This window comes from Homo sapiens, chromosome 11 (genome assembly GCF_000001405.40).
Source record: "Homo sapiens chromosome 11, GRCh38.p14 Primary Assembly".
NCBI classification, from domain to species: domain Eukaryota; kingdom Metazoa; phylum Chordata; class Mammalia; order Primates; family Hominidae; genus Homo; species Homo sapiens.
In genome coordinates this window covers 112247790-112273854 of record NC_000011.10, presented here as the reverse complement: position 1 = coordinate 112273854, position 26065 = coordinate 112247790, and the positions used below count along the sequence as shown (strand labels likewise).

General features: G+C 43.5%; 1 protein-coding gene, 2 long non-coding RNA genes and 1 pseudogene across 3 annotated transcripts in view; 2 read left to right on the top strand and 2 right to left on the bottom strand.

Annotated features, from left to right (window-relative positions):
• LINC02762 (long intergenic non-protein coding RNA 2762) overlaps positions 1-3106 on the bottom strand; it is a 91786-nt gene extending 88680 nt beyond the window's left edge. The window contains exon 1 of the long non-coding RNA NR_126004.1: positions 3072-3106. This is a non-coding gene — a long non-coding RNA (long intergenic non-protein coding RNA 2762). The remainder of the gene's footprint in view (positions 1-3071) is intronic.
• On the top strand, positions 5398-6751 carry ST13P10 (ST13, Hsp70 interacting protein pseudogene 10; annotated as a pseudogene).
• A 5707-nt stretch (positions 6752-12458) lies between these two features.
• Positions 12459-13590, bottom strand: LOC100132686 (uncharacterized). The gene has a single exon (NR_133566.1). It is a non-coding gene; the product is annotated as an uncharacterized LOC100132686 (long non-coding RNA).
• On the top strand, positions 12995-25702 carry PLET1 (placenta expressed transcript 1). Its single transcript, NM_001145024.1, has 4 exons — positions 12995-13449; positions 18266-18467; positions 21446-21507; positions 24881-25702. Exons 1-4 carry the CDS (start codon positions 13266-13268, stop codon positions 25054-25056), a joined length of 624 nt encoding a protein of 207 aa, NP_001138496.1. The 5' UTR covers positions 12995-13265; the 3' UTR covers positions 25057-25702.
• Positions 25703-26065: the final 363 nt, after the last annotated feature.

The following is a 26065-nucleotide window of genomic DNA, read 5'->3' as shown; positions in this document are numbered from 1 at the left end:
CCACCTCCCTTGGCTTGGGGTGGGAGCTGCCCTTTCCCCGTGTGGCTCCCAGGTGGGCCGTCGCACCACCCGGCTTTTCTTCACTCTTCATGGGTCACATCAACTGCTTAGTCAGTCCCAGTGAGAGAACCTGGATACCCTGGTTGCTGGTGCAGGATTCACTTGCCATTTTGGTTCCTCCCAGTGGGAGCCTCTGACCACAGATGTTTCTAGTTGGCCATCTTGGCCTCTCCCCCCAGTACTAATATTTTTATATGAAGAAAATAGTATCTTTGAGGTTTTAAAGGCAACTGTGAAATAAAATTGTTTCACCTCCGGGTGAAAAAAATAAAAATAATAAACAAATAAAAATAAAACTCTGTTGCCTACAGATAGAATTCAAAATGCTTAGCATGACCTATAAGACCTAGCATGACTTGGCCCCTATTTACTTGCCAGCAACAGCATCTGTCACTCTTTTTCTTGAACATTACCTTTTCATTGTTCCCTGCTCACATCACACTGTTTTGTAATTCCACACTTCTCTCTTCCAGGAACATTCACCCCAACCTACCCCTATCCTTCAAAACAGTTCATCCAGGATGGCTGCAGTGACTCACACCTGTAATCTCAGTGCTTTGGGAGGCTGAGGCAGGAGGATTGCTTGAGGCCAGAAGTTTAAGACTGCAGTGAACTATGATTCACGCCACTGAACTCCAGAGAGAGAGAGAGAGAAGAAAGAAAGAAAGAGAGAGAGAGAGGGGGGAAGGAAGGAAGGAAGGAAAGAAAGGAAGGAAGGAAGGAAGGAAGGAAGGAAGGAAGGAAGGAAGGAAGAAGGAAAGAAAGAAAGAAAGAAAGAAAGAAAGAAAGAAAGAAAGAAAGAAAGAAAGAAAGAGAAAGAAAACCAGCTCATCCACCATTTACCCAAAAAGCATTCTTTCCCTTCTTTTGTACTCCTAAGGCTTACCTCTATCTTAGCATTTACGCATTATTTTGAAATTATGTTTATGAACCTGCCTCTTAACACTAACCAAAAGCTATTCAAAAAGAGGGATAAGCCAGGCATGGTGGCTCATTCTGTAATTCCTTTGGGAGGCCCAGGTAGGAGGATTACTTGAGGCCAAGAGTTCAAGATCAGCCTGGGCAACATAGCAAGACTCCATCTCTACAAAAAAATAAAAGTTTTAAAAAGGAGAAATCTTAACTGGTCTTTATGCCCCTGCCCTAAAGCTTACCACAATGCCTGCCACATATTGGACCCTCAAAACAAATTATTGATTAATTTTCACAATGGGACTACAAGGCAGGCATTACAAATGAAAAAAACTAAGTCCCAGAAAGCCAGTTACATTCCAGGGGATGGGAGGGCAGCAACTTGAAACCAACTCTACCGCTAAGGCCTAGGCTCTCTCAAGTACAACCTGGAAAACATGAGTGAGCAAGGAGATGGAGGTGAGAATGAGGTGTCAGGGCACCCACCCAGGACATGATGCGTGAGGAATGGAGGGATATGAAGGTGGACAAGATTCTCAAGGGTGGAAGAATATGGTCATGAGGCCTTGGCATTGTGGCTTCTAAGCAGAGCCCTGATACGCTAAACTGCCTGGCAATATCAGGCCAGGCAGTTTGGTCTGACATTGCCAGTTTAGCTGCCCAGGCATGTCTGCTAGCTAAATCTAAATGCTGGGCCTGAGGTCAACGTCCCCACAAATACCCACAACTCTGCTGCACAACCATATTCAGAGTCCTGCACTTACTCAGCCTCTGCTTGCTGAGCAAGCAGATACTACCTCTCTTGAGCACAAGCCTCCAGGAAGTTCCTAATGTAGATCAAGGTGGGAATATCCATGGAATATCCAAATTATATTAGAAGGCCAGGCAGGGTGGCTCACATCTGTGATCCCAGCATTTTGGGAGGCTAAGGCAGGCGGATCACTTGGGACCAGGAGTTTGAGACCAGCCTGGGCAACAGGAAAAAACCCTCTACAAAAAAAAAAAAAAAAAATTAGCCAGGCATGGTGGCATTCACCTGTAGTCCTGGCTACTCAGGAGGCTGAGGCAAGCGGATCAATTGAGCTCGGAGATTGAGGTTGCAGTGAGCCATGATGGCACCACTGCACTCTAGGCTGGGTAACAGAAGGAGACCCTCAAAACAAACAAGCATACAAACTAACAAACAAAGTATATTAGAAGATAAATAAATATGGACTTGAGTGGACAAGAGCATCTTTGCGCCTCAGCCTCTCCTGAGAGGTGCCTCTTCTCCCACCCACCTTCCAGGGGCCTTCCCCTACAAACCTAAACATAGAAGGCAGCCAATGAAAGGGACCAAGAGGCAGATTCCTGAGATAAGCCAAGGAAAGCCCAGGCCCAGGAGCCCACAGAATGAAAAGAATATTCTCAGACAGTAGCAAAACAGGAAGACTGTTCGACACAGCTGAATGCATGCATCAGAACATGGCCGTCCCCTGCACACCCTTCTCTGGAGCTCTTAGGCTAGAAGATGATTTCTTCTGGACAAGGAAGACACAGGACATGGGGTGAAAATAATTCCAGCAAAAGAAAGCTAAATACACCATCCCGTGTTTACAAAACACAGGAAAAGTAGCGAGGGTATAGAGAACCAAGGATAAAGGCAGGATGCCCTTTTCTGGTAAACTTCATGCCAAACAAAGGTGAAGGGCCAGGATTAGCTCATTAGCGGGGAACTCAGGGCAAGAACACCCTGCCCTCTGTTCTGTCCTCACCTGAATCTCTGGGACGAAGCCAAGTTGTCACCTCCCTAAATGGTTCTAGAAACAGAAGAGTTCATGCCCTGCCTGGGGAAGGGACTTCTAGGTCTTCAGCTCTAATCATATGTTTTATGCACAGGTGGAGACATTCAGATCCATGGCCCTCACCCTGTTTCTGCTCTGCAGACTGAGATAAGAGCCTTACGTTTACAAAGTTTCACAAGAAACTGGAATTTGTTGCCCTTCTTTTCCACCTCCCTTCAGCCAGCTCCACTTTTCCTCGGATGCCATGGAGACTCGTAACCAGCTGGACAGCATACATCCCAGAGCTGGAGGGGAGCACAAGCGACCCTGACTCACCTGCCGTTGCTCAGAAGGGAGAGAAACCTGTGAAACTCGGAAATTCCCTCTGGGGGAGGTGTGGCCAGCTCCCAGGCACCACCTCCGCGGAATCTCTCCAATCATAACAAGAAGAAGGAAAACAAGCAGTTATCCAGTGCTTTCTCTATGCCAGCCATCACGCTCCACAAGTATTATGTCGTTAAAAGTTCCCAACAGCCTTATGAGATGGGCACTGTCATTCTCCCCACTTTGTGGATAAGGAAATAAAGCAGTCGCATAAATTGGTCTGGGGTCACCCTTGGTTTCCCATTGGAGTGTAGGCTTCCTGAGGTTAGAAGTTGTTTTTATGGGCTGGGTGCAGTGGCTCACGCCTGTAATCCCAGCACTTTGGGAGGCTGAGGCGGGCGGATCACCTGAGGTCAGGAGTTTGAGATGAGCCTGGCCAACATGGTGAAAACCCGTCTCTACTAAAAATACAAAAATTAGCCCGGTGTGGTGGCAGGTGCCTATAATCCCACCTACTCGGGAGGCTGAGGCAGGAGAATCGCTTGAACCCAGGAGGCGGAGGTTGCAGTGAGCTGAGATTGTGCCATTGCACTGCAGCCTGGGTGACAGAGTGAGACTCCCTCTCAAAAAAAAAAAAAAGAAGTTGTTTATATGACGCTTTGGGAGTGATATTAAGAACATAAATGCTGACTGACCAACTGAAAGATTCGAAGCACCGTGGGTATTTAATAAATGTTATTATTGATTGCTATTAAAAATCATTAATATGATTTTATATGTCTCAGGAAGCAGTACTACAAATAATTCTGAAGTTACTCTATCAATAACAAATTATGTAAGTGACAAAATTGCATTTGTTCACAAGGCTAGAAATAGAGCCTAATTGTTTTCAGGAATGTGGACATTATTTGTTTTTGTTGATAAGAAAGATTAGCTGCTATGGTATAAGTAACGATATTTAGTTGCTACTACATAGTATCAAATCAGTGCAAAAGGAAAAATCACAGATCACGAGATATATGGCAGAAGTTAGAAGAATGTAAGGGAATTAAATGAATTAAAGGCTGTTTCTGTGACTCAATTAATTAAATGATATTGAAAAGAGAAGGTAGAAAGCTGGATTCAGGGCTGATTTTCAGGAGCCTAGTTGTAAATAATTAGACCACCCCTTGGATGTGTACACGACATCAATACCTCATAGCCTCCACAGGAGCAGGGTTCATCTCCTCCTCCCAGTACCTGCAACAACAGAACCAACACGGAGATGCCAGCACGGAAATTCCCACGATCACAAACCCCACCTTTCTCTTATCATTCTGCTCTACCTTTCTTTTCCCTATATCCTTAACTTCTTACATTTTAAATCTTGTTTTCCTGTAAGCTGCTTTAAGTCCTACCTGAATAAGGCAGGGTATCAGAAAATCAATACACTCTTCAGGAACTTAACCGAAGGGAATTTCCTGTGAGAGCACATGGCCTTGACTTTGCCCCTGGAAAGGTGTCCTCGTCACATCCTTGTCAGACCACCACAGGAACCCACAGTTCATCCTGCCTGTTCCAATTCATGTCCCACTCATTAAACCGTCCTGGTTTTTTTGTTTTGTTTTGTCTTATTTTGTTTGCTGCTGAATCCTCTGGTTAAACAGCAGGAGCAATGCAGCCAAATGTCTTGATAAAATGTCACACCTTTCCATGAAATTTCTAAGTGTAGCTATGCAGGACAGAGGAAGAGCCACTTGTTTCCAGTTACTGACCTAGGTGGGCTTAGTTCTCTTCAGGTTCCTGCAGTGGGTTTCCTCTCAAGCAGAGAATTCTTTCCTCTCAAAGGAAGAAGCCACACTAGCCATGTAAAGAGAGTGTCCAAACCTTCCTCTTCCGCAGCTGGAAATACCTTCCCAGTTCCTCTTCTGTTTGGGGACTGGGAAGCTCTGAGTCCCAACTTCTCTTGTCCAGTTTCACTTTCTCACCCACCAACCCCTGCTCTCACTCTACCACTAAGTGCCCTCAACACTGATCTCTCCCTAAAAGTGACTGAAATAAATGTCCAATTTTGGGGGGATGACTGATTCTAATGTTGGGAAGAGAAGCTTAAAAGATCTGACCTCCTACTCAGTGAGAAAGGGGTCCTTGAACACCCTTCTTGAGACGTAACCTCCCTACTCCTACTTAAATGCTAGCAATTCCTGCTTTTTGCCACAGTAATGCAAGGCATTTCTGGAAGTTACGATGCAAACTAAATCTTTTTAGATCTCTGGTTTCAAAACTTTGGATTTTAGGCACCTAGATAGGTGCTACGTTTTCATTTTGTTAAATAAGGACATTTAAAAAATAAATAGGTGCCCCCTTCTGCGCAGTCACACTGAGCCAGTGCCTAGGCCTGGAACCGGGCCACGGCCCCTCAGCTTCGTCCACCGCCTCCCGACCATGGACCCCCACAAAGTGAATGCACTTCGGGCTTTTGTGAAAATGTGTAAGCAGGATCTGAGCGTTCTGCACACCAAGGAAATGCACTTCCTGAGGGAGTGGGTGGAGAGCATGGGGGGTAAACTATCACCTGCTACTCAGAAAGTTAAATCAGAAGAAAATACCAAGGAAGAAAAACCTGATAGTAAGAAGGTGGAGGAAGACTTAAAGGCAGACGAACCATCAAGTGAGGAAAGTAATCTATTAATTGATAATGAAGATGTGATTGAACCAGACCCTGATGCCCCTCAAGAAATGGGAGATGAAAATGCAGAGATAACAGAGGAGATGATGGATCAGGCAAATCATAAGAAAGTGGCTGCTATTGAAGCCCTAAATGATGGTGAACTGCAGAAAGCCATTGACTTATTCACAGATGCCATCAAGCTGAATCCTCAGTTGGCCATTTTGTATGCCAAGAGGGCCAGTGTCTTCATCAAATTACAGAAGCCAAATGCTGCCATCCGAGACTGTGACAGAGCCGTTGAAATTTATTTCAGCTCAGCCTTACAAGTGGCGAGGTAAAGCACACAGACTTCTAGGCCACTGGGAAGGAGCAGCCCATGATCTTGCCCTTGCCTGTAAATTGGATTATGATGAAGATGCTAGTGCAATGCTGAAAGAAGTTCAGCCTAGGGCACAGACATTGCGGAACATCAGAGAAAGTATGAGCAAAAACGTGAAGAGCGAGAGATCAAAGAAAGAATAGAAAGAGTTAAGAAGGCTCGAGAAGAGCAAGAGAGAGCCCAGAGGGAGGAAGAAGCCAGACGACAGTCAGTAGCTCAGTATGGCTCTTTTCCAGATGGACTTCCTGGGGGAATGCTTGGAATGAGAGGGGGCATGCCTGGGATGGCCGGAATAACTGGACTCAATGAAATTCTTAGTGATCCAGAGGTTCTTGCAGCCGTGCAGGATCCCAAAGTTATGGTGGCCTCTTCCAGGATGTGGCTCAAAACCCAGCAAATATGTCACAATACCAGGGCAACCCAAAGGTTATGAATCTTATCAGTAAATTGTCAGCCAAATTTGGAGGTCAAGAGTAATGTCCTTCTGATAAAGACCGTGCTGAAGGAAAAGCAACCTAGATCACCTTATGGATGTTGCAATAATACAAACCAGCGTACCTCAGGGGTGCTTTGAAGATAATCCATATCCCTCTCCCCCAAATGCAGCTGAAGCATTTACCATGGTTTGCCATTAGGGTATTCATTCAGATAATATTTTCCTACTAGGAATTACAAACTTTAAACCCTTTTTAAACCTTAAAAATATTTAAAACAAATTTAAAGGGACGGTTAATTCTTATATTTTTCTTTACTAATCATTTTGGATTTTTTCTTTAAATTATTGGGCAGGGAAGATACTTATGTATGGAAGATTACTGCTCTAATTTGAGCAAAATAGAAGTTTATTAGTGCGAGGCAAACATAAAAAAATAAGTAAATAAATAGGTGAAGGAGGGGAAAATCTACCATCTATAATCTACAATGACTATAGTTTCATAAAAGAAAGAACAACAAAACATCAGAAAGCTATAACATCAAAATAAAAGGCAGGCTTTAAACCAAATCAACATTTCTTTCTTTATAAAAACTGTCATAATTTTGCCCTCATCTCTGTCATTCCATGAAAACAGGTAAACAGTTGATCAAGATCATTGCCAGCCTGGAGTTTGGCAATAATTGCTATAAAGCAGGGGTTATTTTCCCAGAAGGCCATGTGACCTGGAGCAGCTCAACCAGCCAACCCCAGTCCACTGACCACGGTAGGCCAACGAGGCAACACAAGTAAAGCACAGTGCAGATCCAGCTGTGCTCTCAACATGCAATTTTGGATTAAACGAAGACACAAATATGATCAACAAAAAGTCTTGAGCAAAGATAGAGCAACTAACTATTGCTGTGATAAACTTCTCTCCAAGTTCTATCAAATGTAAGTAGATGAGGCACGTGTCCCACACGTACAACAAAATATACACACGGCATATTAAAATTAACATGTGCTGTATCTGGAATATGTCTGAATCTGAAATGCTAAGCAGAGCACACATGTATTCCCTAGATAGTAAGCTGTCCAGTGGAGAGAATCCCCAGCTGGTGGGAAGGAGGCCGGGATCTGGCCCTGACTTTGTCACTAAGTAGTTCTTAAGCCTGGGGCAAGTTGTTTAATTTTTCTGTGCTCAGTTTTCTCAGACATAATAAGGGAGTTAGATTAAAATTATCTCTTAGGGCCAGTCCTGCTTGAAAATTCTTAATGTAATACATAGCAGCGTGTTCCCCCTCTCTGAGAATTTGTAAGTCCTCGGGGAATGAGAAGAATGGTATGCATCTTCTCAAAAGCTGACCACGGGCTATCCCTAAAGCATGGGGACTCTCACTTTGGGCTATTCAAAAGCATAACACCCACAATGCTGAACCAAAGAGCCAGAGGCACAACCCAATTAGCTCATAAATCAACATGTGTGGACTTGAACATCCATTGTGGGTCAACAAATGAGAGTAACTTCTCCAGCTACCCCCAGCTCCCTGGACGCCCTTGTCCCTCGAGTTAACACAGACACTTGCCATCGGTGGTAAAAACTTCCTCTTAGAGGGTTGACTCTGTGGCATGCATGTTACATGCATTACCTCTTTTAAACCTTAACACAATCCTGCAAGGTTGGTCGGAGTCTCTCCATAATATGGATAAGAAAACTGAGGCTCAGGTAGGTTAAGTACAGTCCAAGGTTACACTGTGAGGAGGAAGATTCCAATGGAGGCCTCTTGGACTCTAACATCTGTGCCCTTTCTCACGTTCTCCATATTGCATCTGTCACACCTCTGACATGCCCAGGAGACACATCAAAAACCCCAGGGCTCCTCAGACTAGTGATCCCTGCATCCATCAGTGGTCGTGTCTGGTGAATCTCAGAGAATCTCCCATTACACTTTGACCTTGGAAGGCCAACTGCTTTCTACTCTCTGACAGCTCTCCTTCCCAGGGAGACCAACAAGGCATTGAAGCACCCACCAGACTTTCTACAGCATGAGGAGCCTCTGCATATAAGCTGTAGGCAGACGGGCAGGCTTGGGGTGCACAGGGCAGTCACGGAACCTAGCTTTTCCAACTTTAACGATTAGTCCGGCATTCAACTCTAACCTGGTTTACTCAAACCAGCTGCTAAACGCTTGCTATTCAAGGTGTGGTCCATGGATCAGCAACTTCCTTGTATCACCCAAGAGCCTGTTAGAAATGAGGAATCTCAGACCCCATATCAGATGCACTGAATCGGAAACTGTACTAGCAAGATGCTTCCAGTGACTTGAACACACATGCATGTTCTAAAAGCTCCATCCAAGAATCACTGATGGGGCTTTTTGAAAGGGTGAATTTCCAGGAACTGCAGTCCAGAATTGTAGAAAAGGGGGTGGAGAAATACAAGGAGGCCCCAAACATGTGTATTTTATTTTAAAACTTGTTTTCTTTTGGTCTCCTGTCCCCAAGAAAAATCAAGTCCTTTCCAGCTTGATTCAAAGAACAATTTTGTTTTATGAACAGCTGTCCCCATAGCCAGTAGGGCTATAGGCCAGTAGACACGCCCCCCTCCCTAGAGGACATGCCAGGGTCCTCACACAGGCCCTCTCTTGGGCTGAGCTCTATCTTGCAGAAAATGCATGGAACAATTCCACATAAATCAGAGTGTTCCCTTCTGAGTCGTTTCCCATCCCCCCAATCCCATGTCCCCCAGTTCATAAGGAGATTAGACCATCATCCCCATATCAATAGCAGAACTCCTGTATTTTCTTTTCTACCATCCTAATCTGTATAAATTTAGGAAAGGGAAGAAGAAAGGAAGGAAGGTAGGAAACTAATTAACATTTGTTAAAAATTTATACTATATGTCAGGCCCACCCTGTTCCCTAAAATGGTTTTGGGGTTTGTTTTGTTTTCTTTTTTGAGATGGGGGTCTCAATATGTTGCTCAGGCTAGACTCAAACTCCTAAGCTCAAGTAATTCTCCTATCCCAGCCTCTCAAGTAGCTGAGACTATAGGGGCACACCACCAGACCCAGTTCAAAACAGCTTACATACACTTTTCATTTAATATACATAAAAGTATGTAAGACTGATATTACTGCCTTAATTTTAGAAGTGGAGACTAAAGCTCAGATAGTTTAAAAACTCTCCCAAAGCAAGGACTCTGAACAGGACCCAATACTAAAGTTCTGTCACATTCTTTCTGCTACCCCAACTTGCCTACACAGCATATTATGTAAATAAAAATTTTATTGAGATATAATTCACATACCATCAAATTCAATTTGGTAGTTTTTAGTATATTCACAAGGTTGTGAAACCATCACCACTATCTACTTCCAGAACATTTCCATCATCTCCAAAAGAAACCCCAAATCAATGAGCAGTCATAGTCATTTCCCATTCCCCGCACCATCCCTAGTCCCTGGCAATCACTTTCTGTCTCTGTGGATTCGCTTCTTCTGGATATTTCATTTTTTCAATATTTCACATTTCTGTCTCTGTGGATTTTCATATTTCTGTCTCTGTGGATTTGCTTCTTCTGGATATTTCATTTCATTTCATAGAAATGAAAGCATACAATATGTGGTCTTTTGTGTCTGGCTTTTTTCACTGAGCACAGTCATTTCAAGGTTCATCCATGTTGTCGCATGTATCGGTACTTGATTTATTTTTATAGCTAAACAATAGTCCATTGTAAGAACATACCACATTTTGTTTATCCATTCATAAGTTGATGGACACTTGGATTGTTCCCACTTTTTAGCTATTATGAATAATGCTCCTATAAACATTCATGTACAAGTTTTTGTGTGGACATACATTTTTAATTCTCCTGGGTATATACCTATGAGTGGAGTTCCTGGACCATATAGTAGTAACTCTATGTTTAGCTTTCTGAGGAAATGCCAAACCGTTTTCCAAAGTGGCTACCTCATTTTATATTTCCACCAGAAATGAATGAGGGTTCAACTTCTCCATATCCATGCCAACTCTTATTATTACCTGTCATTTTGACAGTAGTAATTCTAGCTGTAAAGAGGTATCTCATTCAAGTTTTGATTTGCATTTTCCTAATAACTAATAATGTCGAGCATCTTTTCACATGTCTATTGGCCATTTGTACATTTCTTTGGAGAAAGTATTCAAATCTTTGCTCATTTTTAAATTGGGATATTTGTCTTTTTGTTATTGAGTTGTAATCTTTATATATTCTAGAAACTAGGCCCTTTTCAGATATATGATGTAGATTATCTTTTCACTTTTTTTTTTTTTTTAGATGGAGTCTCACTCTGTTGCCCAGGCTGGAGTAAAGTGGTGCAATCTTGGTTCACCGTAACCTCTGCCTCCCGGGTTCAAGCAATTCTCCTGCCTCAGCCTCCTGAGTAGCTGGGATTACAGGCACACACCACCACGCCTGGCTAATTTTTGTATTTTTAGTAGAGACGAGGTTTCATCATGTTGGCCAGGCTGGTCTCGAACTCCTGACCTCAGGTGATCCACCCTCCTTGGCCTCCCAAAGTGCTGGGATTACAGGCGTAAGTCACCGTGCCCAGCCCTTTTCACTTTCTTGATAGTGGCCTTCAAAGAACAAAAGCTTTTAGTTTTGAAGTCCAATTTATCTATTTTTCCTTTACTTATTTTTGCCTCAGGCATCATGTCTAATAACTGTTGCTTAAACCAAGGTTATGAAGATTTATACCTATGTTTTTTCCTAAGAGTTTTATAGTTTTACATGTAGGCCCTTGGTTCACCTTGAGTTAATTTTGTATATGGTACGAGTAGGGCTCCAACTTTATTCTTTTGCATGTGCATATTCAGTTGACCCAGCACCATTTATTTCCCCATTGAGTTGTCTTGTTACCCTTGTCAAAACCCAGTTAATAATAAATGTGTGGGTATGTTTCTGAAATCTCAATTCTATTTCATTGATGTATATGTCTATCCTTATGTCAGTACCACACTGTCTTGATTACTGTAGCTACACAGTAAATTTTAAAATTGGGAAGTGTGAGTCCTCAAACTTTGTGAGTTTTGTTTGTTTGTTTTCAAGATCATTTTGACTATCCTGAGTGTATTGTTATAGTTTTCCGTATACAAGTCTTGCACTTGTTTTGTTAAATGTATTCAATTGACCCATCTTCAAGTTCACCAATACTTTCTTCTACCAGTTCAAATATGCTGTTGAGTTCTTCTGGTGACTTTTTAAAATCGTAGTTATTGTACTTTTCCATTGCAGAATTTCTATTTGGCTCTTTTTATCATTTTAATCTCTTTATTACTATTCTTTACTTGGTGAGACAATCACCAAAATCAATCTCATACTTTCCTTTAATTCTTTAGACATGATTTTTTCTAGTTCTTTGAACGTATTTATAAAGCTGAGTTAACGTCTATGTCAAGTTCAGCGTGTGGGCTTCCTCAGGGACAGTTTCTGTTTACCTGGGATGTTTTTTTCTTCTGTATAAGCCATACTTTCTTGTTTATTTGTATATCTTATAATTTTTCTTGAAAACTGAACATTTAAAAAACATGAAGCCAAGCAAAGTGACTTATGCCCATAATCCCAGCACTTTGGGAGGCTGAGGCAGGAGGATTGCTTATGCCCAGGAGTTCAATAACAGTCTGGACAACATAGCAAGACTCTACAAAAACTATAAAAATTAACCAGGTGTGATGACACGTGCCTATAGCCCCAGCTACTTGGGAAGCTGCAGCAGGAGGATCACTTAAGCCCAAGAATTTGAGGCTGCAGTGAGCTATGATTGCACCACTTCACTCCAGCCTGGGCAATAGTGAGACTGTGTCTCAAAAAAATAAATAAATACATACATACACACACACACACACACACACACACACACACAAATGTGACAACTTTGGACACCAGACTCCCTTCTCCTCCCTGAGTTTGTTTTTGTTGCTGTTTGTTATTCTTTTTTATTGTTGTTGTTGCTGCTGTTTGTTTTATGACTTTCCTAAATTAATTATGTGAAGTCTGTATTCTTTATCATGTGTAACCACCAAAGTCTCTGTTCTGTTTGCTTATTGACCAGCTAATAAATAGATTTTTAAAAAATTTCTTTAACTAATAACTCTGGAACCAACAAGTCTCCCAGTCTTTGCTAAGCACTTCTGCATGTGTGTTTTGGGGAATGCCTTCAGTGATCAGATAGGCAGTTTACAGCTCTACCTTAGCCTTTACTTCTTACTTGTGCAGAGCCTCAAGGTCGGCCAGAGGTGAGTAATTAGGGCCTCCTCAGGTCTTTCCTGGGAATGTGTGTAGCCCTGCACATGCACATGGCTTTTTAGATTCCCAGGGATTCGTCCAAGCTTTTCAAACCCCCTATAGACATCTCATTCCTCAGGGGTTTATTTTACATTTTACACAACTCTGAATTTCACTTGCTGGTATTCACATCTTCTCAATGGCTTTCTTCAAACAGCAGATGCTGAAATGACAGGCGTAAAAGAAAACCATATTCAGGACATTCCCTTTCTTGAGCAAAACTGCAATTTGCAAAATCATCGGTGACAGGTAATGGTGACTGGTGATTCATTCCTGGTGATGTCTTGGGCCAAATTCCAGAATCCAATGTATATTCAGAAGGGGCAGGGAGAAGATCTGCATGTATGACTTCACCCAGAAGCCCTGGCATATAAACAAGAGGTGAGTTGTCAGTTTCACCCAATTCCAGGCCTAGCACTTTCCAAACAGACTGAGACCATGGCAGTCTTCCATGACATGCTGCTGCAGCCACTGGGGATGTTTCTGTGCCTCAGTCTGCAGCTTTCTTCTGCCACCTTTATAAGGTACAGTAGCACCTGCTTCACCTTTGATGAATACTACACCATAACCCTAGACATCAAGGCCAGTTCACATATCTACGAAAGCAATGCAGTCTATTCTGGTGAGTAGAAGCCATGCTCTCTGCTGTCCTTTGTTCCCTGAGGGAAATTAACCAGAATTTCAGAACACACCCCTCTATCGCTACTCTCAATTATACAAAACATGTGTCTTCTGAACCAAATGGGAAGCAAGGGAAGGAAGACAAAGAATGAGAATTAAGGGAGTGGGCTGGGGGGCTATTTCTGCAAATTCCTTGTGAACTCAAGCCACAGGAGCGAGAAAGCCCCAACCCCAGATTCACTGAGTCCCAGCAAGAGCACACTTGGGGTAGATTCTCTGACTTAAATAAAATGGGCAGTTTTATCATTTTAAGGGATAATCATTGCATTCCAGTGTATAATCTTTTCTCTTTTTGTTTTTGTTTTTCTGGAGACAGAGTCTCACTTTGTCACCCAGGCTGGAGTGTAATGGTACAATTTCAGCTCACTGCAACCTCCGCCTCCTGGGTTCAAGCAATTCTTGTACCTCAGCCTCCCAAGTAGCTGGGATTACAGGTGCACACCACCACGCCTGGCTAATTTTTTGTATTTTAGTAGAGATGGGGCTTCTCCATGTTGACCAGGCTGGTCTCGAACTCCTGGCTTCAAGTGATCCACCCACCTCAGTCACCCAAAGTGCTGGAATTACAGGTGTGAGCCACTGTACCCAGCCTCCAGTGTGTAATCTTTTCATATCTATTTGACAATATGATGCCTCTGGGGATAATTGTGTACTGCATTTAGTCCGTGGGTGAAAAAAATCTAATAAACAACACAGGGGAAGTATTACTAACCCACTTTATGTATGAAAAGCCTGAGACCAAGGGAAATTAAATGACCTGCCCAGAGTCTCCCTTCTAGTAAGTCATAGAACTGGCTCTTGAATCTTAGTCTGTTCATTCTTAATCCAATGCTTTTCTTAGAGGTGTCCAGTAGATATTTTTTATATAGCCCTTTTTGAATCAGCCAAACCTAAAAGTCAAGGAATATGCTTTCTAATTCATTTCATAATAATAACACTTCCTATGGTGTTTAACATGTAATAGTGACCTATTAGGGAGATATCATTATCATTCCCATTTTGTAGATGAGAAACAGAGACAGAGATGCTAAGTGACTCTTGCTCAGGTCCCGGAGCTACTTAAATGGTGAAGGTAAGATATGAACCAGCATTCCAGCTTCAGAGACCCTGCCTTTAACCACTATATACTCTTCCTTATAGTAGTGAGAGCTAACCCTTCTTACGATGTGCTGGGCATGTTTTAGAAGTAGATGTTGTTATCATTTTACAGACAAGAACTGAGGCACAGAGAAGTTAAAAATTTACACTAATAAGTAACTTAGCTAAGATTTGAATCTAAATAGCACAACCAAAACTCGTACAGCTTTTTATCCAGCCAGCTGTCCAGCTTCAGAACCTTTCTTCTTATCTACTGTGTTATTCTGCCTTTCTTAAAAGTCTAACTTTTGCAAAGACCACCAGGGTGATCTCCACACTCATAGTCTAGGTCTCAGACTTCAGCAGGTGAACAATCATGGCATGCCTTCACGCGCTCACCTTGCTTATCTTTTGTCTTACTTTTAAATGAGGACTGACACTAAGTGCTTCAGTTGTGATGGGGCCAGCTATGTCCCACTCCCTCAGGCAGTGGATATTGTCCTGACAGGGCAGGGAGGATAATCTTGTAATTCAAGATGAGCACAGGTGGACATATGTGCAACCTGGAGGAGAGCCTCAGGTGTCAGAGGCACCACTGCAAAAGAGATCACGAGCCTCTGGCATTTAAGATAATACCTCTCCAGGTGAAAGATTTTGCTAATGCAATGGAGGAAAGAGAAATCTATCACTGAGCATGGTGGCTCACACCTGTAATCTCAGCAATTTGGGAGGTCAAGGCAGGCAAATTGCTTGAGCTCAAGAGTTCGAGACCAGACTGAGCAACATGGCAAAACGTAGTCTTTACTAAAAACACAAAAATTAGCCAGACGTGATGATGTGCGCCTGTGATCCCAGCTACTCAGGAGGCTGAGGTGGGAGGATGGCTTGAGCCCAGGAGGTGGAAGTTGCAGTGAGCCGAGACCACGTCACTGCACTCCAGCCTAGGTGACAGAGCAAGACTCTATCTCAAAAAAAAAAAAAAAAAAAAGAAAGAAAGAAATCTATCATATGAAGATGCTATGGAGGGGGAAACATGGGAGCCTTCTGAAAGCAGAAAGACAGGAGAAAGATGAGTCAACATGATCCACTGGGGTGAAGGGGATCACAGCAGTCACAGAGACGTTAGGTGGAGCAGGGAAAGGGAACGGCAAAAGAGAAGACCTAAGGCTCCTTGAATGCCTACTTATGCCATGTACCCCCAAACTTTATCCAATTCCATTTTAAAACAGAAATGTGCTGCAAAAGCTCTGTGGCAAATTGACTCATGATACAAATGATTTAAGTCAAGGGTCAAAATCTTCGCCGACGGAGATGTAAATTGCCAGATCCCACACCCGTGGTTACACAGCAGGCTCCACGATTGCCTTGCAGGTGTTACTGCCAGAACTCAGGACTTCTGGGGACTCTGAGTAAATGGCCACCCAGGCCAATCGCTTTTCCTTATTTTGGTTTTGAAATTCTTTTAAACTTTGGGGTGATGTCAACATTGGTAAACTGTGTATAAGTGGCTTGGCAGGTCCCAAGAAACAACTGCAGCTCAAGCAACATATTAGAACAGGTTTCCTGGGTCTGTTTTGATATCAGTGAAAGAAACCCTTAATACAGTGACATTTACATTAAGACTGTGCTGAGCAAGGATCTGCCTTTTTAAAAAAAAAAACTTCTATGGGCAAGAGGGATGTGATTTGCTTGCTTTTCTTGCTGAACTTTAAGCCTTAAGGGCACTATACAACATTGGATGCATGACTTTTAAAATCAACCAATGAGTAGTTACTTAGGACCCCCCAGAGGCCCAACACTGGGCTGTCCAGATACCAACACAGATGAAACCACAGCACATAGCACAAAGCACAAAGTACAATATGATTAAGAATGCAACAGTTTAAAAAAAAAAAAAGGAACGAGAGTTAAAAAGGGATAAATTGGTCCAGAGGTGGGACATAAGCAAGCTGTTGGAGTGGAAGAGGGTATGTGATGTATGATGAGAGGGAAGGAAGGCTTTCAGGCAGGCAGCCAGAGGTGAGCAAGGATCAGGGGCAGGTGCATTTGCAGAAAAAGGGAAAGGCTGGCTGCCCTTAGAGTGGGAATACAAACAGCAGGCTGAGGCTAGGTTCTTACAGTCCAAAAACATGTGTTGGATACTGTAATCAACAGACCAGAGGCAAAAATATAAAAGCAGAAATGTTGACATGCTCTAGAAAGAAGGACCCTTTGAAGGTTTGGACAGGAGTGTGTTCTGATGGACCTGTTGCATAAGGAAGACTGGTGTGGCCGCAGCACGTTGCAAGGCCACCTGAAGGAGAAGAACCTAAGGCCAGAAATCCAGAAAATATAGGTGCCTAGGAAGGAAGAAAGAGGATTTAAACCAGAATGGAAGGGAAAAGCAGGACAGGGCACACCCGTGCAGAGCTGACACTGACGACTATCTGCATGACACTGTCTCTGCTCACCTTCTACTGCACCTGACGCACAGATCTAGAACAGATGTCAGGTGCTCACTGGGCAAGTCGAGGTCTGCGGGATCTGCATCACACAACCGTGAATGGCAAAACTAACAACCAGAACACAGAACTGTTGTGTGCATATAGTCACATAATAACAATTGCAATTTATCCAGTACTCCCCATGTATTAAAATCTTCACATTCTTCTCTTTATTCTCCGGGACCTTTCAAGATAGGTATCATGATCTCAGATAATGAAGGATAACATCATTATCCCCAGACCTAGAACCAGGCCAGGTGCAAAGCGGGCATGCAAGAAATATTTATGGAGTGAATGATGAACAATAAGGAAACCGAGGCTCAGAGGTGAAATGACTTGCTCCTAAGTGCTATAGTCAGAATTCAGATCCAGGACTGTCTGATCCTTTTGTGTTGCATGATCAATTTGCTTCACTTGGTTAAGGAGAAGCCTTAAAGAAATTTTGCGTGGCTGAAAGGGCCCAGGAAAGAACAATACTCTAGCATTGAGGAATTCACTCAGAAGAGAACTCCTAAGGGAAGAAATGGAGAGACAGATATTTTCTTTAAATGCCCTCTCCATTACACATCCGAAGGCTGAAATTAACAAGTGGAATTAACAAGTTACTGAGGGTAACTCTCTAAGGAGTTAGGGCCCCTGTGGCTCAAAGGCACTCCTTCCCACACCCTAACAACAGAGACCAAGAGAATCAGCATTTCTGGGACCACAAAAAGGGTTTTGCTTTTACTTGGCCCACCTGACCTTTCCACGTGCATCAGCCTCTTCCGTCCCCACACTCCCCCTGAGAAGAGGACCAAGCAGGCTTGTCTTCTCATCTGAGAAATGGGCCCCGGCTCAGAGAGGTAAAGAGATTCACTCCCAGAATCTCACCCCTCGTGTGTAGCAAAACCAGAGCTGAGTATGGGTCTTCTTTTGTCTGCCTTTTACTGTAGAAAATTTGGAAAACAACCAAAAAGCACTAGAAAGAAAATAAAAATCATCTGTAATCCCACTACCAAGAAATCACCACAATTAATATCTTGATGTATTTCCTTCCAGACTTTCAACTTCTTTTACAACAGTGAGACCATATACTCGATGTGCATATTCTTTGTAACTTTCTTGTTTCACGCTTTGTTTTGATTTCACTGCCCTCATCCCTCGAGCTTGGCTCAGAGGGAACAGATGGCTGATTGCTTCTTCATCATTTCCTCCCAGTATTTGTTCCCGTGAATGACAGCGTCTATGCTGTGGTCATGAAAACCTTGGACGAGAACAGTGACTCAGCGGGCCTCTGGCAAAGAGCGGATAAAAATTGCTACAGCAACTCCACGTATTACGTGAAAGATCAATACATGACGGTCTTAGAGGCACAGTGGCAAGCTCCTGAACCTGAGAACATAACTGAAGTGGAGATACAGTAAGAACCTAGCTTGCTTTGCTTTGGGCTTTAAAATTTTCATATTGGGTTTATGCAGTTTTACACTAAGCTAGGAGGACTTAAAATACAATCCAGACGTGATATGGAGAACTCAGCAGTCGCACTTCATTACCGTCTCACAGTGCTCTACCATCCCTTCCATCTATAGGCGCTTGCAGACACACACATTCACACACACACCACATACCACACACACACTCACACCACATACACACCACACACACACATGCACCCCACACACCTCACACACATACACCACACATACATACCACACACACCACACATACCACACACACCACACACACACACATACCACACGCACCCCACACACACCACATACGCTCACACACCACACACACATACATACCACACACCACATATCACACACACACCACACTCACATACATATCACACACACCACACACACGCTCACAGCACACACACATACATACCCCACACACACCACATACACCACACACATACATACCACATGCACCACACACACATACCACACACACACCACACACAACACATACACCCCACATGCCACACACACCACACATGCACCACACACCACACACACACGATGCGTACCACACGCAGCACACACACCACACACACAGCACACACACACCACACACACACTCACAACACACACATACATACCACACACACCACACACACATACATACCACATACACATCACACACACAGCACACACCACACACCACACACACTCATACCACACACACCATACACACATGCCATACGCACTCATGCCACACATACATACCACACGCACATCACATATACACCACACACACACACATACCACACACATACATACCACACACACCACACACACTCATGCCACACACACATACATACCACATGCACCACTCACACCACACACACCACACACACGTACATACCACACACACGTACATACCATACACACACGATAGAGGTACCACACACACACCCCACACATACACCACACACACCATACAAATACCACACACACACCACACACCACCCCCACACACCACATGCTACTCACACTACACACCACACACATACACACACTACACACCTTACAGACACCACACGCACATACCAGACCACATTCCCACACATACCCCCTTTTCACACACACACACACACACACACACACACCACTTATGCTCAACATCCTCAGAAAGAACTGAGCACCCTCTTTGTTTCATATTCCCTATGTTCAAACTGGAGAATCATTTTTTAAAACATGGATTCACTTTGGAAATGGCTCGCTAACAGAAAGTGTGATGATTGTGTAATAAAACTGGCTTGCTAGTGTCACACAAAATGGACACACTCAGATTCTGAGGTAAGGTCACCTGGAATCGCATTAGACTTTAACAACAAATCTTCCTCCCAGCTAGGATCTGTCATTAGGTTTACTTCAGGAACCACATGTTGGGAAGTACTTAAGGCTTTCAGATTCCATTCTGTACTGAAAGGGCCGGTCTGACCCTCAGGCTGTGTCAGCTTGAACAGCCATGTCTCTATGGAAGCTGGTAATGATGACTATGCTGTCAAACCACCCTGCCCTCTCCCTCCATGCACTGGGCCTGGTTGGACCTAATTGGCTTTGGAGGAGGGACTATTGTGCCCACAGAGTGACTGCAAGAGTAGAACCCAATGGGAGCTACTACAATCCAGCTTCCCAATGACAGCAGTTGCTTAGAAGCTAGCCAAGGCCAATTAGGGCAAGGGCTTTCTTTTCATCTCACATCATTAAAGCCTCCACATTCCATGCAACAAGAGATGAAAGACCAAACAGTGACCATCCGCAAGACAAACGGCCCAATCCCACTGACAGCATGGTCTCCAGACCTCTCCCAACTTGCACACCCGCGATAACACGCTGGCCTCCCTGCTTGTTTATACCATGTTACATGGCCTTGATCAGCGAGGCTGAGTCAAGGGGAGTGGAGCCACATATTATGAGGAATGCAGAAAGCAGGGGACTCCACAATGGTGGGCTGGGCACAAAAGGGATGGGAAGAGGTCCCTACTCATGGAATGTTACAATGAGGTTAGGGAGGCGAGGTTAGGGAGGCAAGGCCTATGTAGAAATAATGACTGAGGTTAATTCCTCAATAAACCATTCCCTGAACTCCCAAATCAAATATGAGCTCCCAGTTGTACACTCTCAGAATTTCTTCCCCTTCATCACAGCGTACATCACAGATCAATTCTTTACCTAGGTAATTGATAATCTGTTTAAAATCTATCCCTCTGAAGAGACTGTAAGTGCCCTGAGGATGAAAACCAGGCCTGTCTTGCTCAACCACTGCCCCCTCAGCACCAGGCACAGTGACTGAAATGAGGTGTCCTTTCATTAATGATCTAACACATGTATGAACAAGGGACTCATATAATGGGTTTATTGATAGGATAACAGACCAAGCGGTACCAGTGCAAACATAAAGCACCTATGATATGTCAGGCACTGTTGACAACAGAACCTGCCTTATAAAGTCGGTCCTCCCATGGGGACAGAGGCTCCTAGCAAGTCAGTGCAACAGAGCATCATGCCTAGCTTAGTGACAATAGGGAGAAACAACTTCATAGAGGTTACCATTGAGTCTATGAGCAGATGTGACCAGGACAGGTATTATAGGCAGAGGGACTGGCTTGAACAAAGACCAGAGGTATGTGTACCAGCCTGTGGGCAGTCAGGGTGGTGATGTTGGTAGGGGCGTTGGAATGGGAGAGGCTGTGTGGAAGTTGACCAAGATCGTGGAGGATCTTATCAATCAAAAGCAGACCAGTATTTAATGATCTGCTCATTGTGCCATACAGAAAGTAAGCACAAAAGGAATTAAGCGGCGGGGAAGTCCGAAATGTGAGCTGAACTTGTGAATTCCGCATGAGGTCCTCAGCATTATCTCTCATTGATTTGCCCTCCACAGAGCTTTCACTGTCCAGATCAGAGCGCTGCCTATACTTTCTACTCTGAAGCTAAGAGAAAAACGTGAGTTCCTTTGCAGCCCATTTGCAAGTCTTGCAATGAACTCAGTCAGCCTGGAAAATTACCTTGTGGGTTCCCTAGAAAAGAGGGTCTTCTTACCACGCATCACTCAGCTATCTATCAGTTGAGTCTCCCTGCACCTTGAGACCTATAGAATATTTGCCCAACCCGTTGTCCCATGTCCTTTAGAAAACAAAAGCCCTCCCCCAAGATTTCTGCAAATTCCCAGGGTCTTTATATTCTCAGGGTCATCTGTGGCTCCAAATGCCGCTTCCATAGGAGCTGTTTCTGTTCAATACCACATAGACACAATGTGAAAACATCTTCCTCAATTTCCACAAATAATTCCCACTCACACAAAGCCTTAATGGATACAGTAGACTTTAACCAAAGGGTTTTAAAGGGATTGGGGGTGGAGGCTGGGGAGTTGCACAAAGAAGGATTGATATCATAGAAATAGCAATGTCTTTAGTTCTTACAGTGGCCTGTGGCCACCACCACTCTACTAGGAATTTCCACAGCTTTTCACAGGCTGTCGCCCCCAGCTTCGCACCTCCCTGAGGTTCCTCGCCCATCTTCTTCCCCATTCCCTTTCTTTTCTCTTACCTCCCTCTAAGGAGCTATATATAACAAATTTAAGGCTGGGTGCAGTGGCTCACACCTGTAATCCCAACACTTTGGGAGGCCAAGGCGGAAGGATCCCTTGAACCCAGGAGCTCAAGACCAACCTGGGCAACACAGTGAGACTTTGTCTCTATTTAATTTTTCTTTTAATTGAGATGGAGTCTCGCTCTGTTGCCCAGGCTGGAGTGCAGTAGTGCGATCTCAGCTCACTGCAACTTCTGCCTCCCGGGTTCTCCTGCCTCAGCCTCCCAAGTAGCTGGGATTGCAGGAATGAGCCACCATGCCTGGCTAATTTTTATATTTTTAGTGGAAATGGGGTTTCACCATGTTGGCCAGGCTGGTCTTGAACTCCTGACCTCAAGCGATCCACCCACCTCAGCCTCCCAAAGCACTGGGATTACATGCGTGAGCCACCACGCCCAGCCTAATTTTTTTTTTTTTTTAATTTACAAAAAGGTTCAAGAAAGGAGATTCAGAAAAATAGGTAACTTGTCTAAGGCCACACAGAAAGTAAATGGCCAAAAGAAGACTCCTATTCCATATCATATTTTTCCACTTTTCTTAGACTTACATCAAAACTATAAAAATACATTGTTTTTGAATGACTTTTTTAAATACAAGATTCAACCAAGAACAAGAAACATTAGCCTTTCTCACTGTCCAACAACAGGTGGTCCTCACGAGCCCCCAGACACTGAAAGACACCTAGCATGCTGCCTATTTTCCCGCCAGTTACGCATTGCAAAATGTGTTCAAAGGGAGAATTATATTCAACAACAAATTGTAAAGTGATTATGCCTAATGAAACTATTATATGAATGTCTTAACTATTTCCTTGGTGGATTTCCCTCTGCAAGAAAACAGAGAGTAGTTTTTTCCTCAAGGCCATTGCCAAGATGAACCCTTGTGTAAATGTTACTGGAAAAGGGGGGTCTTGATATCAGATCCCGATAGAGCGTTTTTGGATCTCACACAGGAAGGAATTCAAGGTGAGTGGCAGCCTGTAGTGAAAAGAGATAGTTTACTGAAAGCTACTCTATTACAGAGTAGGGTGTCCTCAGAAAGCAGGTGGAGGAACACACTGTCTTTAAGTTTTTCTTGTATAGGGGCCTTGTCTATGTAAAGACTAAACTAAGCTGTGCCTGTGTGTGGGTGGGCTGACAGCATGACAAAATTTATTACTTTATTGATGTAAAGAAAACTATCCCTGACATTTTAGTGTGTAAGTCCATCAAAGCGTAACTATAATTATCTTGAAAGCATATATTGTCAAGGGTATTGGGACATCTGGACTTTCCGCTGTTACAGGAGTGTGTCCTTGTTGGTATCTTCAGTCTGTTTCCTCAACTGTAAACATCTTAGGACCATGGGCTGTGACTGGCAAGGAATGTGCTTGCTAGTTGCAAGATGTAGTTGACTTTTAAATGGTGTCACTCTGACTCTCCTAGGCTCCTGCTTCCCTGACATAAATGCCAAAAAGGAAAAAAAAAAAAAAAAAAAAAAAAAGGTTTGTTTCTAGTCAGGACTCGTTAGCTCCAGGCTAACAAAATCCAGTTAAAAAAAAAAGAAAAAGAAAGTAGTTGCATTCCAACTGTCTGGGTTAGTGGGATGCCAGAGAAACATTTGGCCTGGGGAAGTGCTAAAGATTAGACAATGCTACCTTACTGGAAGGCACCCTCCAGGCGGGAAGAAGACTCCACAGGCCTGAGTCGACTCCTGGACATTCCCCTTCTTCCTTTTCCTTTTTTTTTTTTTTTTTTTTTAATTTTTGAGACAGAGTCTCACTTTCTCACCCAGACTGGAATGCAGTAGCGCAACCTCCGTTCACTGCAACCTCCACCTCCCGGGTTCAAGTGATTCTCCTGCCTCAGCCCCCTGAGTAGCTGGGATTACAGGCCCCTGCCACCACACCGGGCTAATTTTTGTATTTTTAGTAGAGACAGGGTTTCACCATGTTGGCCAGGCTGGTCTCGAACCCCTGACCTCAAGTGATCCACTCACCTCAGCCTCCCAAAGTGCTGGGATTACAGACATCTGGTCTCTTCCTCTTCCTTACAGACCTCCCTACAGTCCACTCAGAGTCTTGGAGGTATTCCCGCCAACCTCCAGTTTGTCCAGGATCAGACAACCCCTCAGGACTATGGGCCTAGCTTTCTGTGCTTCTCTGCAAGTTAACCTCAGAGAACCAATGTGTGATCAGGTCCCTTCATATAAAACTGACCAGTGCCTCAGAAATCACAGAAACAGAGTCGGGGCTTTGGACTGGGCACCTTTCCATTAACTTTAAAGCAGGGATGGCCGTCCTCAGGTCTGGATTGGATCTGGTTCTTACAAGCCCTTGAAATTCACAAGAAGAAAATAACATTGTGTCATTCTGGATCATATTTGCACTGATTAACCTAATCTATTAAAGACAAGATTACATTCAGGAGGAGACTACCCACCCCAACAACAAATGCAGCAGTTGTATAAATTCAATAGGTCTCCACCTCATCTCATAGAACTATGCAGACCTTAAGGGTAGAAAGTGTTTCTTCCTTATTTTTGTTACTTAACCCTGTGTGTTTAACCCCCAGCTTTTCCCCTCCTCTGAAAACACTTGGCACTGGAGAAGGGTTGATTGAATTTTGCTCATGAATCTGGCTCTAGCATTCCATCAGATTACCCTCCTTTCTCGAGTGCCCACCCACCACCCAACGGAGGTTCCGATGCCATTTTCCAGTGCCAACCGCACCCTCAACCACCTTTCCAGTGTCAACCTTAGCCTTAGCTGCCAAGATTCCCCAGAGCTCAGCCTTCAAGCCTTTCTTCATGATTACACCCAAGAGTATCAGACTCGAAGGCTTGGCCAACCAAGTCTTCAGCAGCCCCATCACAGAGGCCATTTATATCCTGCTTGCTTTTCTCACCAGCACACTTCTCTTCTAAAGGGAAGCCAGGGAAACAATTGTTTCTGCCTCCACTGCATCCTCCTACATTCAGTTCCAAGCTAGTGCTGGGAACCGAATGTGTGTAAATGAAGGCTTTACATTCTCAAATGTGCAACTTTGCTGCCACGGCTTCAGACCAAAACAAAGATCTGGAGGCACTCATTGGCAGGCTTGGGTCACATAGATGTTCATCTGGATCTTTCAGGACACATATTACACTTTTTGAAAATATTTAGAACTGGCCGGAACTTAGTCACCTAGGTTCTCCCTATTGGTTGAACAGGTTGGCAGCCAATTCCACAGCCAATCTCAACTTTTGTTCACTGCCAAATGATTCCCCTGCAACCTCTGAGTTTCTGTGGGAAGAATCCTTCCTTACTTTCAAGATGATCTCAGATTTCTAACCAAACCCATTCAGGTTACAAGGAACTTCTGTGACTCATGTGACTCAAGAAAGAAAGGAGAAAGGAGAAATAGCTCTGAGGCTGCTGGCAGCTTCCCATTTGTCCACACCAGTAGATTTTGAAGGGCAAGAGAACAGGAACGAACCATGTCTGAGAAGCCAATATAGAAAAAAACTATGTTATAAAAACATTTTTGTCACAACAAATAAATTATACTTTAAACAAGAATAATGAATGTGTTCCATTCAAATATAAGTCTCTAATGAGTAAGTTAAAACACAGAGAATGTTGTCTAATTGTATTATTTGTGTGTGGGTATTAAAGAACGAATCAAATGGTGAGTGTATGTGTGTTTTCAAGACCAGACTTTGGGGCAAAACTATCTCAATTTTCATTTCCCTCAAGTGAAAACTGGTCATTTTTCCCCTAATAGTAATTTCTGTTAAGAAATGGGCAAAATATATGTGTGTGTGTGTGTGTGTGTGTGTGTGTGTGTGTGTGTGTGTATATATACATATATATATACACACACACCTATATATACACACACATATATACACACGTATTTGTGTATATAGGCAGTGTTGTTATTCCCACAATGCC